This window comes from Homo sapiens, chromosome 5 (genome assembly GCF_000001405.40).
Source record: "Homo sapiens chromosome 5, GRCh38.p14 Primary Assembly".
Classification (NCBI taxonomy): domain Eukaryota; kingdom Metazoa; phylum Chordata; class Mammalia; order Primates; family Hominidae; genus Homo; species Homo sapiens.
The window spans coordinates 113,447,823-113,470,195 of NC_000005.10; the positions used below are offsets into that span (position 1 = coordinate 113,447,823).

At 41.9% G+C, this 22,373-nt stretch overlaps 1 protein-coding gene and 1 long non-coding RNA gene across 2 annotated transcripts in view; one reads left to right on the forward strand and one right to left on the reverse strand.

The window, feature by feature from the left end:
- The window catches only part of LOC107986366 (uncharacterized), a 59,223-nt gene extending 47,882 nt beyond the window's left edge, over window positions 1-11,341 (forward strand). The window contains exons 4-5 of the long non-coding RNA XR_001742459.2: window positions 941-1,036; window positions 11,039-11,341. This is a non-coding gene — a long non-coding RNA (uncharacterized LOC107986366). The remainder of the gene's footprint in view (window positions 1-940; window positions 1,037-11,038) is intronic.
- The window catches only part of MCC (MCC regulator of Wnt signaling pathway), a 466,348-nt gene that overhangs the window by 425,717 nt on the left and 18,258 nt on the right, over window positions 1-22,373 (reverse strand). The gene's annotated exons all lie outside the window — the stretch shown is intronic.

The following is a 22,373-nucleotide window of genomic DNA, read 5'->3' on the forward strand; positions in this document are numbered from 1 at the left end:
TGTCTGGAACTGCCACAGGGCGGCCCACCGAGAGAGAGCATTTTGAGACAAAGGTCCAGCTGCCTCATTCTTGGGCAGTCACTGGAAGCAAGACAGCAAAATAGCTGTGGCTTTGCTGACCTTCTCAGGAGACCTATGGGCTTGAATCTGGCCTCTATCTGGGGAGAGGTGTAGAGGGACTGGAAAAAGGGAATAGGAGAAGGGAAAAGAAAATGAGAACTACCTTGGAAACAACAGTATTGAAAGTGGATTAACCATCGCTATAAATAAAAAACACATAACGCACATTAAATCTCACAATAGGATTTTTCTGTCATGTGCCTACTTTTAGATTCCAAAAGTTTTTAAGTATGACAAGATTCAGAGCTCTTTTTCAAAAGATGGAGGATCCACAGGATGGGCAGGCACCATGAGTGGGGTCAATCAGTCTTTGCCTCTCCATTCTTCTCCTTTCTGGTGCATAACCTTTGAAGGAAGAACATATGTGGAAGAGCTATGAGTCTGGTTTAGCATACATAAATTCTGAAAATATCGTGCTTCCAGACACAACTGGCTTCACATCAGAAAAACCTTTCCAGGGTAAACACTTTGTTTAAATATTAAACTTAAGTAAAGCCAGACGCAAGAATACAGTCTAAATAGCAAAGAAAGGCCATAATGACCTTAAGTGGAAAAGAATTAATAAAAGATTCCCCAAGCTGACAAGCCTTTCTGGCACAGAATGACAGCTGCAGATACCAATGATCCCTGAAGTTTTTCATTTTTCAGATTTGATGCACTGCCTTCGGTTGTGACAAATACACACTCCAGTTTTTTTAAACCTTAGCCTTTGCCTTGATCGTAGGAATAAGTACTCTGTTTTTGTACCTTAAGATTTTCTTCTCTAATATTTTTTCCCGGAATTACAAAATCATCATCTTAAAACACCATTACTATGAAGTCCTTAGATTTCAATGCTAATGGGGAAGAAGAAGGTGCCTAAAAACAAGGAGGGAAAATCATTCAAGACATCTCCAGGACAGCTCCACAAATAGAGGTATAACATTTGATTCTGACCTTTTTAATCTTGTATTTTATTTATTCCTCTCAGTAAAGAAGGTTTGAAATGTGGATTAAATTTTAATCCATTTTGTGTACTATATATTGCATGAATCAGGTAAAAGTTAACATTGTTTGTTGGATGCTCCAATTTACTATTAACCTTCAGTCAGTCATCAGTGTCTGCCCAGTCTCTACTGGTCATCAGGAAAATCCTACAGAGGGCCAGCTGGCCTCATTACTGGGAATAAAATAGCACAAATGGCTCACGAACTAATCAATTATGCAAATATCCTTGGGTCAGAGAAGATCCTTACTGGAAGCCAATTTGATATTCTTCAGCACCAGGGATTTAAGTGAAAGAAAAACAACTAATTCAGAAAGCTGGAGAACAGAACCTATGAGGAAAGCTAAAATAAACAAATTAGCCTCGGAAAGATAAGGTTGAAGAATGTTCTGAAAAAGGTCTTCCTGTATATATGAAAAGCAGAAAAGGTGGTTGGGGAAAGGAAGAAAGAAAAAGAATAAAATGAGACCAATATGGTGATGCAAGGAATTTAACACTATAACTGGGAGCTGAGAAAGGGTGCATTCATTCACTCATCTGACATTACCCCAAGAGTGTACTCTCAGCCAGACACTAGCTGTGTGCTGCCTCAGCGGAGGCCAGGTACCCACCTTCCTGTGATGATTTCTGTGAGGACTTATCTAAACACAAAGGGATTGAGAGTCAGCTTATTTAAAATTATTTACTTCTTTTTTGAGGGAAGTAGGGCAAGGTAGAGTGGAACAGGAAAAGAGCAGTCATGGAGGAGGCTCAGAGGTAAAACTGCCCATGTGTTATAGCTGTTACATCCCAGGACAGTCTACATGTGGGTTTGGGAAGTGGAGGAGGACAAAAAATAGGCATGAATTTATCTCTTCGGGCACATTTGTCTAAACTGATCTTAGAAGTTTCTTCAAATCACAACAAATAAATGACGATTTTTAAAGATGTGTATTGCCAGATCAGAAACTCTTTTTCAAATTTATAGTCCTATGTAGGTGAAGTACACGGCTGCATTTGGAGTATGATTTTTTCCATTTTAAAATGTTTACTTTTTCCTTTATAAAGAGAACACATGAAATTATATACAGTTTGCACAATTGCACAATGTATAATTTGCAGTGTATTTTACACTGCAAATAATTTATTGAATTTTAAAGATAAAGATAAGAGTTTACGGACATTGGAAGGGTCTCTCCTTATGTCCACACTCCCCTAAGTCTCTCAGAATGAAATTCTTTCATTTGACTCTCTCCTGGAGTTAGGGTGGAAGTTCACAGTTAAAATAAGAAACTGAGTTGGAGAGAAATAACATTAAATGTTACCTTATTAGCACCTTACCTTGAATTAGTTTATTAATTTAAGCCTAGAGAATGGACTTGAGGAACCTGAGAAGCCTCAGAAAGACTCAGGCTGCAGAAGAATCTCTGGGAGGACAAAAGTGAACTCCATTAGCTGCTGTGGAGTTAGCTATGGGCCTCGCCTTGGTGGGGACCCGGGAGCTTGAGGTAGTTCTTTGGCAAATATAGCTGCCTTTGACTGATGTGATGCCCCCCCAAGCCTGGCAGCATCATGAACAGAAATGTGTGCGAACCCCAGGAGATAAAACATTTTGGCCAGGACCATTTGCTTAACATGACCCTTACAGGACCCAGCATGCTTTTGAAGCTATGTAACAGATGTTCTCACAGCATATGCTACATGTAGAAATGCTTGTGAGGTATTTCAGAATTTCCACTTCCCTCTTTAGAGCTGATTTTGGATTTCTTTTCATAAGCATTTTAAAACATGTTCCACTCAAACTGCCTCTTCCATGGTACACATGTACCTACGTGCTGAGAAAGTGTCACTCTCCAGAGGGAACAGTTCTGTTAATGCACCATCAGCATCTTCAGTAAGGTCTCCAGAAGGCAACTTCTTGAAATGCTATTACAAAGCATTTTTACCTTTCTATTCTGGAAGAGGACTCTTAGCCTTCATTTTATTATAAAAATGTATTAGCAGAAGGGCCTTGTAGGTTGTAATTCATCCTTTCTGAAGACAGCCCCTACCCTCCTTTTTTTTCACCCCCATTCTCTCTCTGACCCACATCCTTTCTGCTTCTTTTATTCTAATGCATCTTTCCTTTTCCACAATTGCATTTTTTTTTCTTTTCTACACTGCCCTAGGCTGTAACTCAGTTTGGTCTCTGTAAGCAGAATTCAGGAAGTAAAATAAGAACCCATAGCTGGTGGCATACCGCCAACCACACCTATAAGATGCTTTATCTCAGTACACCCTTTCACTACTTCTTCACACTCCTGAGATGAAGCCCACTACACTAGAAAGCTTTCCCTTGCTCTGTACTACAACAAAAGGCCCTCAGATAAAGCAAGGGATCTTTTAGGAAGAGATGAAGAAAGAATAACGATTTAGCAACTAGCATTTTAAATTAAATCTACAGTTTATCCAGACCATTTGTTTTTATTATTGTACTGGTCACCATGACAACCCTGAGAGGAAAGCATGTTTTGTATCATCTCCATTTCATGGATTAAGAAAACTGAGGCTGGGTGCGGTGACTCATGCCTGTAATCCCAGCACTTTGGGAGGCCGAGGCGGGCGGATCACCTGAGTTCGGGAGTTCAAGACCAGCCTGACCAACATGGAGAGACCTCGTCTCTACTAAAAATACAAAATTAGCCAGGCATGGTGGCGCATGCCTGTAATCCCAGATACTCAGGAGGCTGAGGCAGGAGAATCACTTGAACCTGGGAGGTGGAGGTTGCACCTTTGCACTCCAGCCTGGGCAACAAGAGTGAAACTCTGTCTCAAAAAAAGAAGGAAGGAAGGAGGGAAGGAAGGAAAAACTGAGGCTTGGAATAATCACATCACTTGCCCAAGCCACACACCAAGTTTTTCAACTATCCACTGCTGTGTAACAAACCAATCTAAAATTTGGTGGCTTAAAAAATCAGTGTGTTTAACTACTCATGATTCTGTGGGTTGGCTGGGTTAGCTGAGCAGTCCTTTTGCTCTACATCATGTCCAACTGGGAGCCTGCCTAAGGCTGGAATGATCAAGATGGCTTCACCCCCATGTTTGGCTGTAGGCACTGGCTGTTGGCCAGGGCACTTCCGTTCTCCTCCACATGTCCCGTCAATCCTCCAAGAGCTCTTTCCTCATGATTTGTCCAGCAGGATAGCCTAGACTTAATATGACTGGGGCTTCCAAGAGGGTGCAAATGGAAACTGCCAGGACACTGAAGCCTCAGGCCTGGAAGTCACACACCATCACTTCCACTGCCTTCTATTGGTCAAGGTAGGGTCAACCAGATTCCAGGGGGAGGAAATAGATCTACTTTCTAGACAAGGAAGCCACATGCATATATAGGAATGGGAAGAATTGTGGGCAGCTATATGCTGTGGTCTCAGTGTTTGTGTCCCCCCCAAATTCATATGTTAAAACTTAATCACCAATGTGATGGTATTAGAAGGTGAGGCCTTTGGGAGGTGATGAGGTCATGAGGGTAGAGCTCTCACAAATGGGATTAGTGCCCTTATAAAGGAGGCCCCAGAGAGCTGCCTTGCCCTTCTACCATATGAAGAGAGTGAAAGACAGCAAGCCATCTATGAACCAGGAAGCAGGCCCTTACCAGAGACTGAATCTGTCCACATCTTGATCATGGGCTTCTTGGCAACCAGAACTGTGACACATTTCTGTCTTTTATAAGCTACCTGATTTATGGTATTTTGTTACAGCAGCCTAAACAGACTAAGACACTATATTTGCAGACAATCTATTAATGCCACACCAGAAGGGCATAGTTGGAACTCAGAAAGATCAGTGATAAGCCACTATTCCAGTAATTCTTTAATGTTCAAGTCTAAGATTATGATTTCATTGCAGGTGCATGCACAGGTGCAGGATGTTAGTTCCCCATTTGGTCTCAGGTGATGTTGGCACCACTGCCAGTTTGCCTTTATGTGTCCTTTATTTGAAAGGAAGAGATTAACTTAGGCTTGTATATAATTATTGTTAATTTGGCTTAATAATCAGCCTTAATAATTAGCCTAAAGCAAATGTTCTCAATAAGAACTTTAAGAGCAGGGTATGAGGTGACAAAGTATCAACAACTGGCTGAATAATGGGTACTTGCTGATTAATGTTAATGGCAAAGAACCACTTGTCAGCAGAAATCATGGGAAGGAGGTTGTTTATGTGACTGTCTCAGCAGTCTTATTGAGTTTTCCAGCGTGAACGCATGTTCGGTGGTCACCCAATTAAACCCTGTCTTTAGACAGATGCATTGTTACATCTGAGATTCTTTTAGGTCTGAAACTCCTCCAATGCCTAACTCATCTAACACGTCCACTTCTCTGGGCCCCAGCTTGTACACACACACAACACGTACACACACACACGGGCACACATACAGAGAGTCCTACCACCAAGAAATGTTGTAGAACAGCTTTTTTAAACAAGTGAAAATTAAGTTCAAAACTTTGTTTTCCAGATTCTCACAAATCTCTTGAAGTGACCAGAGCCCTCCTGGAGTGTCACAGCCTAGGCTGCTGTCACTGGGGCTTCACAGTCACCATGACACCCATGGCTTCAACTCCTCCTCCACCTCCCTCAGCAAAGGCAGGCGCCGTGATTCCCTTTCTGATTTTGAACCACCATGAAAGGTATTTCACTGCTCTGTGAAGGCATGCCTGCTTTCTAAGAGACTTTACAGCTGACTCCCAGCTGTTTATGTGTCTCCCCATTAAGCTGAATGGGAAGAAGAAAGTCACAGAGGAAAAGATCTCTGGGGTAAGGGTGCAGGGACTAGGTTCAGGGAGAGGACACTCTAAATCCTGTTTGGTATTTAGTCACTGAGGCTTAAGTTTAGTTTGGTTGTTTAAAAAATGTACTCATAGTAACTTAAAAATTAAAGTAATAGCCAGGTGTGGTGGCTCACGCCTGTAATCCCTGCACTTTGGGAGGCTGAGGCGTGTGGATCACCTGAGGTTGGGAGTTCGAGACCACCCTGACCAACATGGAGAAACCCCATCTCTACTAAAAATACAAAATTAGCCGGGTGTGATGGCACATGATTGTAATCCCAGCTGTTCGGCAGGCTGAGGCAGGAGAATTGCTTGAACCCAGGAGGCGGAGTTTGCGGTGGACGGAATATCGCGCTATTGCACTCCAGCCTGGGCAACAAGAGCGAAACTCTGTCTCAAAAAAAAAAATTAAAGTAATAAATGTACATTTAAAAATATTTGAAAAAATCCTAAGATCATAGCTCGATGCAGCCTTGATCTCCTGGGCTTAAGTGATCCTCCCGTCTCAGCCTCCTTAGTAGCTGGGACCACAGGCATTTGCCACCACATCTGGCTAATTTTTATATTTTTTGTAGAGACAGGGTCTTACTTTGTTGCCCAGGCTCGTCTACAACTCTTGGGCTCAAGTGATCCTCCCGCCTTGGCCTCCCAAAATGCTGGAATTACAGGCTTGAGCCATGGTGCCTGGCCTGTGTTTTTGTTTTCATATAATTTAGTAAGTTTGTAGCAGAATTGAGAGCCCAAGGCAGATGGATGATTGCCTTGAAAAGGTGTCACTTTTCTAGTTAAATGTCAGTCATAATAAAACCCTAAGGGAGGCTAATTGGGCCATTAATTTTTAATATCTTAACAATGTTAACAGACTTCAAAGGGAGAATCTACAACAAAGATTCTAAGAAGAGTGTATAAATTCAAAAGATGTTCCCACATTATCAGCATTAACTGAAAGTACTTAATATTTGCTCTATAAGGACAGACTTAAAGAAGTCCATCAACTATAAAATTTATTAGTAGAAAAATCATATTATATATGGAGGGGAAAATCAATGAATACACATATACATCTTGGGAGTTTTAAAAATATTTTGCCTATTTTGTTAAACCTAATATAGTACTAGAAAATGTTCATCTGGGAGAGGAAATACTACATGCATGCACACACAGTCATAAACTGAATAATATTAAATAAATAGTAACAGCCTGAAATGAATAATTGCAGCTGAGGAGTCATGCACATGCACACTCAGAGATGTCACTTTCATTCTTCACTATCTGACCCCAGGCTCCAGGGTAAAATCCAAGCTCTCCCCCAGGACACACCAAGCATTTTATGTGCACTCCCTTTCCACCTGTTTGCTTATCCTCCCACCGCACCAAAGATCCAGTCCAACCTGACTTCTTGCAGTTTTCAAAAGTACTGAGATCCCATTTGGCTCAGCTGATGCCCCATTCCTGGTCATCCTCAACTTGGCAGACCCTTCTTCATGCCCATCACTCGGCTCAGCTGATGCCCCATTCCTGGCCGGCTCCAGGTCCCTTCTTGGCCAGCCAAGGCTGAAAGGCCACCTGCCTGCTAGCCCATATTTTCTCATCTTCATGTCTGTCCCTTACTAGAGTAGGGCTCCCTGAAGACAAGAGTGGCATCTTTTATGCTGCACTCCCCCCCACCATCACCACCACCACCCCACCTGCACTTGGCACACGGCAGGAATTCAATAAATATTTATTCAGTGAATAAGGTCACGTCTCAGGGGTCTGTAACAACTAACAGCTTATCTGATAGGCATTTGCAAGAGATGGACGCCATGTCAACTCCTCACAGCAGCCCTCTGAGATGGGACATACAAGTCTAAAGCCCTTTTCCAAATCTCTTGGGGATATATATGTTTAGGATTTCAGAAATTTGTGTATTTTAGAAAGGCAATATGTTGTATTAAACAGTATACAATAGCCCCAGAGGAATTTGGGGCCATACCAATAATCAAACATGTATAATGAACCAAACATAATCAGCCCCAAATATGAGCAATCATACTAAATGGAATAAAGACTATAAATAGACTCTGGTCAGTTCAAGTTTTATTACCTACTGAGTTTGCAGAAAACTTGTGAAAAAGCCGTCCATTTTACAGCTTTCTGTATTCAGAATTGCAGATAAAGAAGAACGGACCTGCACAATTATCCCTATATATTTTGGAAATAAAGAGAGGTGCCACAGAAAGGGTAAATAAACTGACCAAGATCATACAGCTAATAAACTAGAATTTAATGCCTTACTCCAGAACTCTACTCTTTTAAAAAGGTTAAATTATGTAATATTTGATATACACAATATATGTGACACATATGTAGGTTAATGCATAGCAATTAAAATAATAAAATAAAACCGTACCTGCCACCTTACTTAGAGATATGAGCCCCTGATCTTAACTCCCAGGCACACCACCTCAGGACAGGCTAAGCCTAACCTATTTATGGCTATGTTACATAGGCTGAATTTTAATGGCTTAGGAATGCCACCTTCTTAGGTGGGACCCAGGAGATCACACAGCTATGACACCAGTCAGACTCTACCAGGGGAAATTAAATCCTTTTATATGGGTCGAGTATCTTTTATCTAAAATGCTTGAGATCAGAAGTGTTTCAGACTTTGAACTTTTTCAGATTTTTGAACATTTTACATTACATATACCAGTTGAGCATTCCAAATCTGAAAATCCAAAATCCAAAATGCTCTGATGAGCACTACCCTTTTTTTTTGAGACAGAGCCTCGCTCTGTTGCCCAGGCTGGAGTGCAGTGGTGTGATCTTGGCTCACTGCAAGCTCTGCCTCCCAGGTTCACGCCATTCTCCTGCCTCAGCCTCTCCAATAGCTGGGACTACAGTCACCCGCCACCATGCCCAGCTAATTTTTTTTTTTTTTTTTTTTTTTTTTTTTAGTAGAGACGAGGCTTCACCATGTTAGCCAGGATGGTCTCGATCTCCTGACCTCGTGATCCACCTGCCTCGGCCTCCCAAAATGCTGGTATTACAGGCGTGAGCCACTGCGCCCGGCCAATGAGCACTACTTTTTTTTTTTTAATTATACTTTTAAGTTCTAGGGTACATGTGCACAACGTGCACTACTTTTGAGTGTCATGTCAGTGCTCAAAAAGTTTTAGATTTTGGAGGATTTCAGATTTTCAGATTTGGGGTGCCTAACCTCTATCTCAAGGCATCTATGAAGCAGGGAGGGGATGAAATCATAATGAGAGGTGACAGCGTGCTGGCAGTCCTCACAGCCCTGGCTCGCTCTCACCGCCTCCTCTGCCTGGGCTCCCACTTTGGTGGCACTTGAGGAGCCCTTCAGCCCACCGCTGCACTGTGGGAGCCCCTTTCTGGGCTGGCCAAGGCCAGAGCCCACTCCCTCAGCTTGCAGGGAGGTGTGGAGGGAGAGGCGGGAGCGGGAACCGGGGCTGCCTGCAGCGCTTGCGGGCCAGCTGGAGTTCCAGGTGGGCCTGGGCTTGGCGGGCCCCACACTCGGAGCAGCTGGCTGGGCCTGCAGGCCCCAGGCAATGAGGGACTTAGCACCCGGGCCAGCGGCTGCGGAGGGTGTACTGGGTCCCCCAGCAGTGCCAGCCCACCGTTGCTGCTCTGGATTTCTCGCCGGGCCTTAGCTGCCTTCCCGCGGAGCAGGCCTCGGGACTGCAGCCTGCCATGCCTGAGCCTACCCCCGCCTCCGTGGGCTCCTGTGCAGCCCGAGCCTCCCTGATGAGCACAGCCCCCTGCTCCACGGCACCCAGTCCCATCGATCACCCAAGCGCTGAGGAGTGCGAGCGCATGGCGTGGGACTGGCAGGCAGCTCCACCTGCAGCCCAGGTGCAGGATCCACTGGGTGAAGCCAGCTGGGCTCTTGAGTCTGGTGGGGCCTTGGAGAACCTTTATGTCTAGCTCAGGGATTGTAAATACACCAATCGGCACTCTGTATCTAGCTCAAGGTTTGTAAACACACCAATCAGCACCCTGTGTCTAGCTCAGGGGTTGTGAGTGCACCAATGGACACTGTATCTAGCTACTCTGGTGGGGCCTTGGAGAACCTTTATGTCTAGCTCAGGGATTGTAAATACACCAATCGGCACTCTGTATCTAGCTCAAGGTTTGTAAACACACCAATCAGCACCCTGTGTCTAGCTCAGGGTTTGTGAATGCACCAATCGACACTCTGTATCTAGCTACTCTGGTGGGGCCTTGAAGAACCTTTGTGTCCACACTCTGTATCTAGCTAATCTAGTGGGGACTTGGAGAACCTTTGTGTCTAGCTCAGGGATTGTAAACGCACCAATCAGCACCCTGTCAAAACAGACCACTCGGCTCTACCAATCAGCGGGATGTGGGTGGGGCCAGATAAGAGAATAAAAGCAGGCTGCCCGAGCTAGCAGTGGCAACCCACTACGGTCCCCTTCCACACTGTGGAAGCTTTGTTCTTTTGCTCTTTGCAATAAATCTTGCTACTGCTCACTCTTTGGGTCCACACTGCCTTTATGAGCTGTAACACTCACTGCGAAGGTCTGCAGCTTCACTCCTGAAGCCAGCGAGACCATGAGCCCACCGGGAGGAAGGAACAAACTCCAGACGTGCCGCCTTAAGAGCTGTAACACTCATGGCGAAGGTCTGCAGCTTCACTCCTGAGCCAGCGGGACCACGAACCCACCAGAAGGAAGAAACTCCGAACACATCCGAACATCAGAAGGAACAAACTCCAGACGCGCCACCTTAAGAGCTGTAACACTCACCGCGAGGGTCCATGGCTTCATTCTTGAAGTCAGTGAGACCAAGAACCCACCAATTCCAGACACAATAATGCTTCCCAGATGTAAAAATGATGCAAATGTGATATAAATTAACAAGGGCTCTTTTAAAAGCACAATGGATAAAAATGTAATAGTGTGTAAGACCAAAACATACTGATGTGTGCTGCTTGTATAGGCTAGCATAACAAGAGCACTGGGCTACTGACCTGAGCTGCTGAGACAATTAGGAGTTGGGAAGAAAGTGTGAGGGGTTACACACAGAAAGAGTGCTTAAGGCCCTGTATATGGCATGGTTATCTGCAGATAAGGACAAAACCCAAAGTGGTCTGCCTTGTTTAATAAGATCTCCCTTTTAGGGGCCTCCAATTGACCAGAGGAATCTTCAACTCACCTAGAGCAAAGGTTCAGAAGATGAAAGGGCTTTCACCTCAGCAAAGTGGAACTGATATTGTGGGAGAGTTATTGAGTAATAGACCCTCATCCTCACATCAAACATCCCTAACCTTGCCAGACACCAGCCTCTCCCAGACAGCTCACTGAAGAAGAGGTCCAACCAAGACCATGGCTGGAACCTGGATGCTCTGAACAGGTGATGGCAACAATGAGGTCTCTGGGGAGGAGTAAGGATATGTGTGTGTGTGTGTGTGTGTGTGTGTGTGTGTGTGTGTGTGTGTGAAGTGGGTGGGGGGGGGAGAGAGAGAATATGAATGAAGACTCTGGAAAAATATACCTTTTGAAAAAGCCACAGGCCAGGTGCGGTGGCTCACACCTGTAATCCCAGCACTTTGGGAGGGAGGCCGAGGCGGGTGGATCACGAGGTCAGGAGATCGAGACCATCTTGGCTAACATGATGAAATGCTGTCTCTCCTAAAAATACAAAAAAATTGGCCGGGCGTGGTTGTGGGTGCCTGTAGTCCCAGCTACTCGAGAGGCTGAGACAGGACAATGGCATGAACCCAGGAGGTAGAGCTTGCAGTGAGCCGAGATCCCACCACTGCACTCCAGCTTGGGCAACAGAGTGAGACTCCATCTCAAAAAAAAGAAAAAGCCAGAATTCTGTGTTCACAGAATCTTATTTTGCCTCTGAACACTGTTATTCCCTGACTGGTGGTGGAGTGGCAATCCTGATGGAAGGACCTACAGGACCAGAAGGAGCCATATTCATGTGCCACCTCAGAAACCTCTGTCGCTGCTCGCCCATTCTACCTTTAGCTCTCCAATGTGATCACTGACTTAAAAGTCAAAGGGCAGACAAATGCTTCAAATAAAACTAGATAACAGATATCCCTTGCAAAAAGGAGTCCTAGAATCGCTATGGAAAACACACACACACACACACACACACACACACACAGGCATGCATACATATGTGCACACCTTAGTTGTATTCTGTGGATATTTAGATAGATATTTAATAGATACTTAAAGAAAGGACAAGTAAACATCCTAGGGCAAGGAATCAAGCTGGAAACTTGCTTCATCCACATGACATTCAGTGAAAGCTGAGAAAAAGGGAAAATAAACTGAAGCAACATGAAGTAAAGAGGTTGCCTAAGAAGAGTCCCTTGTATGAAAACAGATGTTTATACCTAAACATATAAAGTGTTAATACCTAAACTATAAAAAACCCAAAACCTCCCAAGTGTTTGCAGCTGAAGTCATTTCCAGCTTTTCATGACTGTCATGGGTAGCTTTGGGGAATATCATACATGAAGGGAATCCTCTTTCCATGGGAAATTTTGACAATTTGTGGACACAAGAAAAAGGGTGAAGCCTGAGGCATGTGACACATCATCTGAGGCACCTTTTCGGTGGGGATTTCTCTCAGGAAGAGGTCCAGCAGCTCTCTGTTTGGATGTGACTTTGCTCTTTTATTCAACTAATATTTGGATTAATACATCTTCTTCTGTGAGTTTTCACATCAGTATTCCCTCCTCTTTACCTTGTCTTTTCCCCCAAACACACACCACACACATTGTGAGTCAGTAGCTCACCCCCAGTGGGTCAGAGAACTAACTTCCAGCAATCATTTCTCCCCATTACAAGCTGTGGGGAACTGTGTGGGCCTGCAGATTGCTCAGGGCTCCCCTAACAGCCCCACGCTGTACGCTGTGTGCCTTGTGCTCACAGAGCATCAAAAGATGCTCACAGAGTTCAAAAGAGAGCATCATATTGAAGACCTGGCTCCTTATAAATGCAGTCTGTCATGTTTGAGCAGAGATTCTGAGACAGTTGTAGCTTGTTGCCTTATATTTGGCTGCTGCTAAAGTGTGGCCCATGGACCTGCAGCATCTGCAACACCTGACCGTTTGTCAGAAACGTAGAACCTCAAGCCCACAACAGAACTGCAGAATCTAAATTTGCAATTTAACAATGTCCCCAAATGATTTTAGCTGCACATCAAAATTTGAGAAGTACTGGTTTATGGCACTTTATCGCATTTATTTTATTTAAGAAATAGTTGCATTAATTACTATAAGCCAAGCACTCTTAAAAACACATTTTTCGACTCAGGAGGCTGAAGCAGGAAGATGGCTTGAGGCCAGGAGTTTGAGACCAGCCTGGGCAAAATAGTGAGATCCCATCTCTAAAACAGTTTTTAAAAAATCAGTCAGGCATGGTGGTGCACACCTGCAGTCTCAGCTACGCAAGAGGCTGACACAGGAGGACTGCTTGAGCTCAAGAGTTCAAGGCTGCAATGAGCCATGATCATGTCACTGTACTCAAGCCTAGGCAACAGACCAAGACCCTGACTTAAAAAAACAAACAATAAAAACCACGTTTTTCAAATAACTCATTTACTCCTAAGAACAGCCCCCTTTATAATTGTATGGTCAATAGATACTATTAAGCTTCCATTTTACAGATGAGGAAACCAAGGCATGAAAGTGTGAAGTTTTTGCCCAAAGTTACATGGCCAGTATGGAGTGGAGAGGAGATTAGAACTCCAGAATCCATTGTATATGCCACAACTCTATGCTGCCTACCCCTTGGACACATACAAGAAATAATTAGAAGGTCCAGGTATGGTGGCTCATGCCTGTAATCCCAGGGCTTTGGGGAGGCCGAGTTGGGAGGACTGCTTGAGCCCAGGAGTCTGAGACTACAGTGAGTTATGATCATGCCACTGCACTCCAGCCTGAGTGACAGAGTGGGACCATGTTTCTTAAAAAAACTGTTTTAATTTTTTAAAAAAGAAATAATTAGAATGGATTTTAAGGATGAACAACTTGCACCAGTAAAAAAAAAAAAAAAAAAAAAAAATTCTGACAGGTGTTTACAACAATAATTGTGGAAGCTACAGATTATAGTAGAGATGTTCTACTCCAAAGGGACTATTCACTGAGGGAGGCATGTAAGAAGTGAAAGGTTTTCCCATCCCATGCCATCGAGCACCCAGGAAAAGCAGGAGTGACAATTTGCTAAATAGAGGACACACTAGGTTAAAAATTATTACATATGAATATGTCTTTAGGACACTGTGAATGTAAGTCTGACTGGTAAAGTAAAAGGGTTTAACCTGCATGCCTGAGAACCTTAGCCTGTTAATGCCCACAAAAAAAATTAGAAACTGAGGAGAAAAGAAAGATTTTAAAAATGGTATTTTCTTGCTTTACTTTTCAAAGTCAGGTCAAAATACTTTAAAACTAGTTGCAGACCACTGGTAGAGCTAGGCCTCTGGCCTTCTGGAACCATCCATGTGGGGATGTGACTCTGGCTAACCCAGCCATTCACCCACTTTCTACTTTTGTTTCTGGGCCTTGCCTCCTTTTAAAACACCTCATGCACAACTCTGATCTCCAATTTGTCCACAGACTTGGATTTTCCGGGCTGCTTGTTTCATAGTTCCCAGGGCAGCATTCAACAGAAACACTGGGAAATAGCACCTCAGGCTGCCATATTTTCCTGAAGCCTCCAGAAAGTGGATTTCATTCCAGTCGAAACAACACTTTTAACACATTTAGAAATGTCATTAACAGTATTGTATAGCTATCAGCCTAGAATCTGTGAATTTACTCAATCTTGAGTCCAGATGGCATGCACAAAGGACAGAGGGCAGTTATATCAGATTCCGACAATGTGAGAAAAACCCCAACAGCAATTTGTTCTCCAGTAACTCCAGAAAAAGCCTAGAAACCCCTCAAAAAATAACTTTTTATGTTCATGAAAATACACTGCTTCTGCAAATTTAAAGAAATGTACTAGTAAGCCAATTATGCAAAAAAGGCAACATTTTGGGTTAATTCTAAGAAGCAAAAGGACTTCATTGATTCTTTCCACAAATATTTACTGAATAGTAACAATGTGCCAGGTTACTGTGCTAGGCCTGGGGATTCAATGGTGAATAAAGAGGGACACAGTCTCTGCTCTCATGGAGCTCAAGGTTGGGTGGGCCAAAAAGATATTAACCAACAATTCCCACGAATGAACATATCATTACAAATGGAGATAAGTAACACAAGAAATACTTAGAAGATAATATTAAAAGAAAGAAGATAATAATAAAAGAAAGATGAGAGGGCCAGGGAAGGCTGAAAAAGTGTCCCCTGAGCTGAGTTTACAGTTTGAGAACAGCTGGATGTATCCAGTGCACAGGAGCTAGATAGGGAGTGAGAGCAGAACACACTGGAGAAACTGAAATTCAGAAAAGAAGAGAGTGGTTGATGTACAGAGAGCCTAGAGGAGAGAGGGCAAGATGAGGTAGGAGAGGAAGCCTTTTTGGCCCTGCATGGTTAAGAATTATGACTCACTTGAAGGGTTGTAAGCAGGGGCAAGGTGAGCAGATTAGCACTTCAAAAAGATCTCTCTAGGTACAGTGTGGAGGACTGCATTGGAGGGAGGCCAAAGGAGAGATGGGAAGGCCAGTTAGGAATATTTGAAGTGCTCCAAGTGAGACAATTAGGGTAATCATAAGGGAGATGGAAAGAAGTAGACAGATTTGAGAGAGATTTAAAAGGTAAAATAATAGGACTTGGTGATGAAATCAACATGGGAGTTCATGGAAAAGGAGAGCTCAAGGATCTTTCCAAGTTTGTTCTGGCTTCCCGTAAGTGGGTGTACATGGTCACATTCACTGAGAGAGCAAGCCTGGAAGATTAGTTTTGTGGGAAGAATCCTGAATCCATTGTTGGACTTGTGGAGTTTAAAATGCCTTACAAATACCTGGCAGGAGATGATTTATAGGCAGTTGGGTCAATTAGTTATGCAAGTCTGAGATGCAGAAAAGAGGACCGAGCTGGACATTTACTAAGGGAGTCACTGTCACATACAAAGAGAACTGAAGCTGAAACGTAAATAAGAGACGAAACGTAAATACCTAGAGAGAATGTCTGAGGTTAAAAGAGAAGTGAGCAAAAATTGATGCCTTAAAATATTCTAACACTCAATAGCTAGGTAGAGGAGGATAAGCCTGCAAAGGAGATAGAAAGGAATGAGCCAAAGAGGTGGGAGAACAGCAAGAAGACTGTGGGGTCTTGGCAGCCAGGAAAAGGGGATGCGTCCAGAGGCAGGCAATGGGCAACACAGTCAATGGCTGAAAGGTGATACAGGCAAGGGGAAAACACCCTTTTTATTTACTGACAAGGTCACTAGTGACCTTAGCATTGATTCAATGAAGTGACAATAGGGCACCATGAAGTGACAAATGCCAGAACTCAGTGGGTTGAGGAGTTTATGAGAAGCAAGAAAATGGAGACAGTAAATATAGGCAATCAAACAGAATCAAGCAGGAAACTCAATTAGACTAAAAGCCAAAGTCCTCACAATAATCTGCAAGGCCATAAAATCTGCCCCCTCACTACTTCTCTTCTACTACTCTTCTTTTCTCACTCCAGCCACACTGGCCTGCTTATTCTTTGAATGCACCAGCTTCCACCTCATGGCTTTTGCCTTTGCTGTTCCTTTAATCAGGAACTTTCTTCCTTCACAGAAATAAATGGCTGCTCCCTAGCCCTCAGGTCTTTGCCCCCAAAATTATTCTCTCATCAAGGTCTCTCCTAACTACTTCATTTAATATTAAAATTAGCCTCTCACCCCTGAACTCCCTTCACTATTCCCTTCCCTGCCTTTATTTGGTATTTCTTACTCTCTAACATATCATGCTTTGTTTTTGTTTATTTATCTCACCTCCTGTCCCATGTAAGTTTCTTAAGGTTGGCTATTTTGTTCACTGCTATATTCTCAATGCTTAGAAGAGTCACTAGTACATAGTATGCACTCAATAAATGTATGTTGAATAAAATATTTGAATAAATTAAATAACTTTAATATATACTATCAAATAGCAACAAGAAAAAAAAAAGGCTAAAAAAGCTCCACTCATGGCAGCAATAAAATGTAGGGGGAAAATTAGAGAAACAAAATAAAATGAAAAATAAAGCATAAGTTGATTGTATTAGGAAAACTTCACTGACTGACATAAAAAAGACTTGAATAAATGTAGAGACATATAATCCCTCTTAACAAAAAATTGGCTTGCAGAGATATCAATTCTCTTTACATCAATTTAGAAACGTATCCTATTTCCAATTAAAATTCAATGGAATTTTAAAGTCCTTTTGGGAGGAAAAATATGCCTGAAAATAGCCAAGATTTTTTTTTTTGTGGGGCGGAGGGAGACAATGAGGAAGGGAGGCCACATAAAATATTAAACCATGTTATAAAGCAACAGTATTGAGCTAAGAACAGGTAGATCAAGAAAAAAAAAAAAGATCCATAATGAGATGCAAATATATGTTTTTCAAAGTTGTACACACATTAAATTATGTATTTTCAAGTCAGTAGAGATTCATCACATGGAAGTAGGAAAAATGGTTAACCATTTGGGGGAAAATTATGTTTTCTATCATGTGCTAAAAATTCATATACACAAAAATTCCTGAGGCATTAGATATTTAACTCCAAAATAAACCCATAAAATACTTATAAGAAAATAATGTCAATATTTATCTACTGAGCTCAGTAGAGAGAGTTTTAACATACGCAAAAGGAAAAAGTGAAGAAAAAGATTGACAGTGATAGATTTGGCTGCATAACCATATAAAGCTTATATTTTGCAAAAGGTATTACAAAATTTAAAACAAGACGAACATTTTAGGAAAATATTTGCAACCTGACAAAAGATTAGGATCTCTAATATACGAAGACCTCTTAGAAATCAAAAGAAAAATACAAATTCCTAACAGAAGAAAGTGAGCAAAAAGAAAATTCACAAATTAGAAATACAGATAGTCAATAAATAAATGAAAAAGATGTCCAAACTCACTAGGATTCAAAGAATTGTAAAGTTAAATAATGTTATACCATATTCAGATGTTAGATGATGGAGATTTAGAAAGGTTATAATAGTTAATGTTACTGAATAGATAAGAAAATGGGCACTCTTATAGACTGCTGATGTTAAACTCTGAAAAGCAATTAGGAATACATTAACCCACATTTTTTTTTTTTTTAGATGGAGTCTCGTTCCATCGCTCAGGCTGGAGTGCGGTGGCGCGATCTCGGCTCACTGCAACCTCTGCCTCTAGGGTTCAAGCGATTCCCCTGCCTCAGCCTCCTGGGTAGATGGGACTATAGGGAACAGTGTGAGCCATAGCTAGAGTCAATCTGGCTGGAAGCAAAGAAAGAGGCTGAGATCTAGGAGGGTAGGTGAAGTTGAGTAGCCATTCTTTTTTTTTTTTAATTTTATTATTATTATACTTTAAGTTTTAGGGTACATGTGCACAACGTGCAGGTTTGTTACATATGTATACATGTGCCATGCTGGTGTGCTGCACCCACCAACTCGTCATTTAGCATTAGGTATATCTCCTAATGCTATCCCTCCCCCCTCCCCCCACCCCACAACACTTCCCGATGTGTGATGTTCCCCTTCCTGTGTCCATGTGTTCTCATTGTTCAATTCCCACCTATGAGTGAGAACATGTGGTGTTTGGTTTTTTGTCCTTGCCATAGTTTGCTGAGAATGATGGTTTCCAGTTTCATCCATGTCCCTACAAAGGACACAAACTCATCATTTTTTATGGCTGCATAGTATTCCATGGTGTATATGTGCCACATTTTCTTAATCCAGTCTATCATTGTTGGACATTTAGGTTGGTTCCAAGTCTTTGCTATTGTGAATAGTGCTGCTATAAACATACGTGTGCATGTGTCTTTATAGCAGCATGATTTATAATCCTTTGGGTATATACCCAGTAATGGAATGGCTGGGTCAAATGGTATTTCTAGTTCTAGATCCCTGAGGAATCGCCACACTGACTTCCACAATGGTTGAACGAGTTTACAGTCCCACCAACAGTGTAAAAGTGTTCCTATTTCTCCACATCCTCTCCAGCACCTGTTGTTTCCTGACTTTTTAATGATCGCCATTCTAACTGGTGTGAGATGGTATCTCACTGTGGTTTTGATTTGCATTTCTCTGATGGCCAGTGATGATGAGCACTTTTTCATGTGTTTTTTGGCTGCATAAATGTCTTCTTTTGAGAAGTGTCTGTTCATATCCTTTGCCCACTTTTTGATGGGGTTGTTTGTTTTTTTCTTGTAAATTTGTTTGAGTTCATTGTAGATTCTGGATATTAGCCCTTTGTCAGATGAGTAGGTTGCAAAAATTTTCTCCCATTCTGTAGGTTGCCTGTTCACTCTGATGGTAGTTTCTTTTGCTGTGCAGAAGCTCTTCAGTTTAATTAGATCCCATTTGTCAATTTTGGTTTTTGTTGCCATTGCTTTTGGTGTTTTAGACATGAAGTCCTTGCCCATGCCTATGTCCTGAATGGTATTGCCTAGGTTTTCTTCTAGGGTTTTTATGGTTTTAGGTCTAACATGTAAGTCTTTAATCCATCCTGAATTAATTTTTGTATAAGGTGTAAGGAAGGGATCCAGTTTCAACTTTCTACATATGGCTAGCCAGTTTTCCCAGCACCATTTATTAAATAGGGAATCCTTTCCCATTGCTTGTTTTTGTCAGGTTTATGAAAGATCAGATAGTTGTAGATATGCAGCATTATTTCTGAGGGCTCTGTTCTGTTCCATTGGTCTATATCTCTGTTTTGGTACCAGTACCACGCTGTTTTGGTTACTGTAGCCTTGTAGTATAGTTTGAAGTCAGGTAGCGTGATGCTTCCAGCTTTGTTCTTTTGGCTTAGGATTGACTTGGCGACACGGGCTCTTTTTTGTTTCCATATGAAGTTTAAAGTAGTTTTTTCCAATTTTGTGAAGAAAGTCATTGGTAGCTTGATGGGGATGGCACTGAATCTATAAATTACCTTGGGCAGTATGGCCATTTTCACGATATTGATTCTTCCTACCCATGAGCATGGAATGTTCTTGCATTTCTTTGTATCCTCTTTTATTTCATTGAGCAGTGGTTTGTAGTTCTCCTTGAAGAGGTCCTTCACATCCCTTGTAAGTTGGATTCCTAGGTATTTTATTCTCTTTGAAGCAATTGTGAATGGGAGTTCACTCATGATTTGGCTGTTTGTCTGTTATTGGTGTATAGGAATGCTTGTGATTTTTTGCACATTGATTTTGTATCCTGAGACTTTGCTGAAGTTGCTTATCAGCTTGAGGAGATTTTGGGCTGAGACAATGGGGTTTTCTAGATATACAATCATGTCATCTGCAAACAGGGACAATCTGACTTCCTCTTTTCCTAATTGAATACACTTTATTTCCTTCTCCTGCCTGACTGCCCTGGCCAGAACTTCCAACACTATGTTGAATAGGAGTGGTGAGAGAGGGCATCCCTGTCTTGTGCCAGTTTTCAAAGGGAATGCTTCCAGTTTTTGCCCATTCAGTATAATATTGGCTGTGGGTTTGTCATAGATAGCTCTTATTATTTTGAGATACATACCATCAATACCTAATTTATTGAGAGTTTTTAGCATGAAAGGTTGTTGAACTTTGTCAAAGGCCTTTTCTGCATCTATTGAGATAAGCATGTGGTTTTTGTCTTTGGTTCTGTTTACATGTTGGATTACATTTATTGATTTGCGTATGTTGAACCAGCCTTGCATCCCAGGGATGAAGCCCACTTGATCATGGTGGATAAGCTTTTTGATGTGCTGCTGGATTCGGTTTGCCAGTATTTTATTGAGGATTTTTGCATCGATGTTCATCAAGGATATTGGTCTAAAATTCTCTTTTTTGGTTGTGTCTCTGCCCGGCTTTGGTATCAAGATGATGCTGGCCTCATAAAATGAGTTAGGGAGGATTCCCTCTTTTTCTATTGATTGGAATAGTTTCAGAAGGAATGGTACCAGCTCCTCTTTGTACCTCTGGTAGAATTCGGCTGTGAATCCTTCTGGTCCTGGACTTTTTTTGGTTGGTAAGCTATTGATTATTGCCTCAATTTCAGATCCTGTTATTGGTCTATTCAGAGATTCAACTTCTTCCTGGTTTAGTCTTGGGAGGGTGTATGTGTCGAGGAATTTATCCATTTCTTCTAGATTTTCTAGTTTATTTGCATAGAGGTGTTTATAGTACTCTCTGATGGTAGTTTGTACTTCTGTGGGATCGGTGGTGATATCCCCTTTAACATTTTTTATTGTGTCTATTTGATTCTTCTCTCTTTTCTTCTTTATTAGTCTTGCTAGAAGTCTATCAATTTTGTTGACCTTTTCAAAAAACCAGCTCCTGGATTCATTAATTTTTTGAAGGGTTTTTTGTGTCTCTATTTCCCTCAGTTCTGCTCTGATCTTAGTTATTTCTTGCCTTATGCTAGCTTTTGAATGTGTTTGCTCTTGCTTTTCTAGTTCTTTTAATTGTGATGTTAGGGTGTCGATTTTAGATCTTTCCTGCTTTCTCTTGTGGGCGTTTAGTGCTAGAAATTTCCCTCTACACACTGCTTTGAATGTGTCCCAGAGATTCTGGTATGTTGTGTCTTTGTTCTCGTTGGTTTCAAAGAACATCTTTATTTCTGCCTTCATTTTACTATTTACCCAGTAGTCATTCAGGAGCAGGTTGTTCAGTTTCCATGTAGTTGTGCGGTTTTGAGTGAGTTTCTCAATCCTGAGTTCTAGTTTGATTGCACTGTGGTCTGAGAGACAGTTTGTTATAATTTCTGTTCTTTTACATTTGCTGAGGAGTGCTTTACTTCCAACTATGTGGTCAATTTTGGAGTAGGTGTGGTGTGGTGCTGAAAAGAATGTATATTCTGTTGATTTGGGGTGGAGAGTTCTGTAGATGTCTATTAGGTCACTTGGTGCAGAGCTGAGTTCAATTCCTGGGTATCCTTGTTAACTTTCTGTCTCGTTGATCTGTCTAATGTTGACAGTGGGGTGTTAAAGTCTCCCATTATTATTGTGTGGGAGTCTAAGCCTCTTTGTAGGTCACTAAGGACTTGCTTTATGAATCTGGGTGCTCCTGTATTGGGTGCATATATATTTAGGATAGTTAGCTCTTCTTGTTGAATTGATCCCTTTACCATTATGTAATGGCCTTCTTTGTCTCTTTTGATCTTTGTTGTTTAAACTCTGTTTTATCAGAGACTAGGATTGCAACCTCTGCCTTTTTTTGTTTTCCATTTGCTTGGTAGATCTTCCTCCATCCCTTTATTTTGAGCCTATGTGTGTCTCTGCACATGAGATGGGTTTCCTGAATACAGCACACTGATGGGTCTTGACTCTTTATCCAATTTGCCAGTCTGTGTCTTTTAATTGGAGCATTTAGCCCATTTACATTTAAAGTTAATAT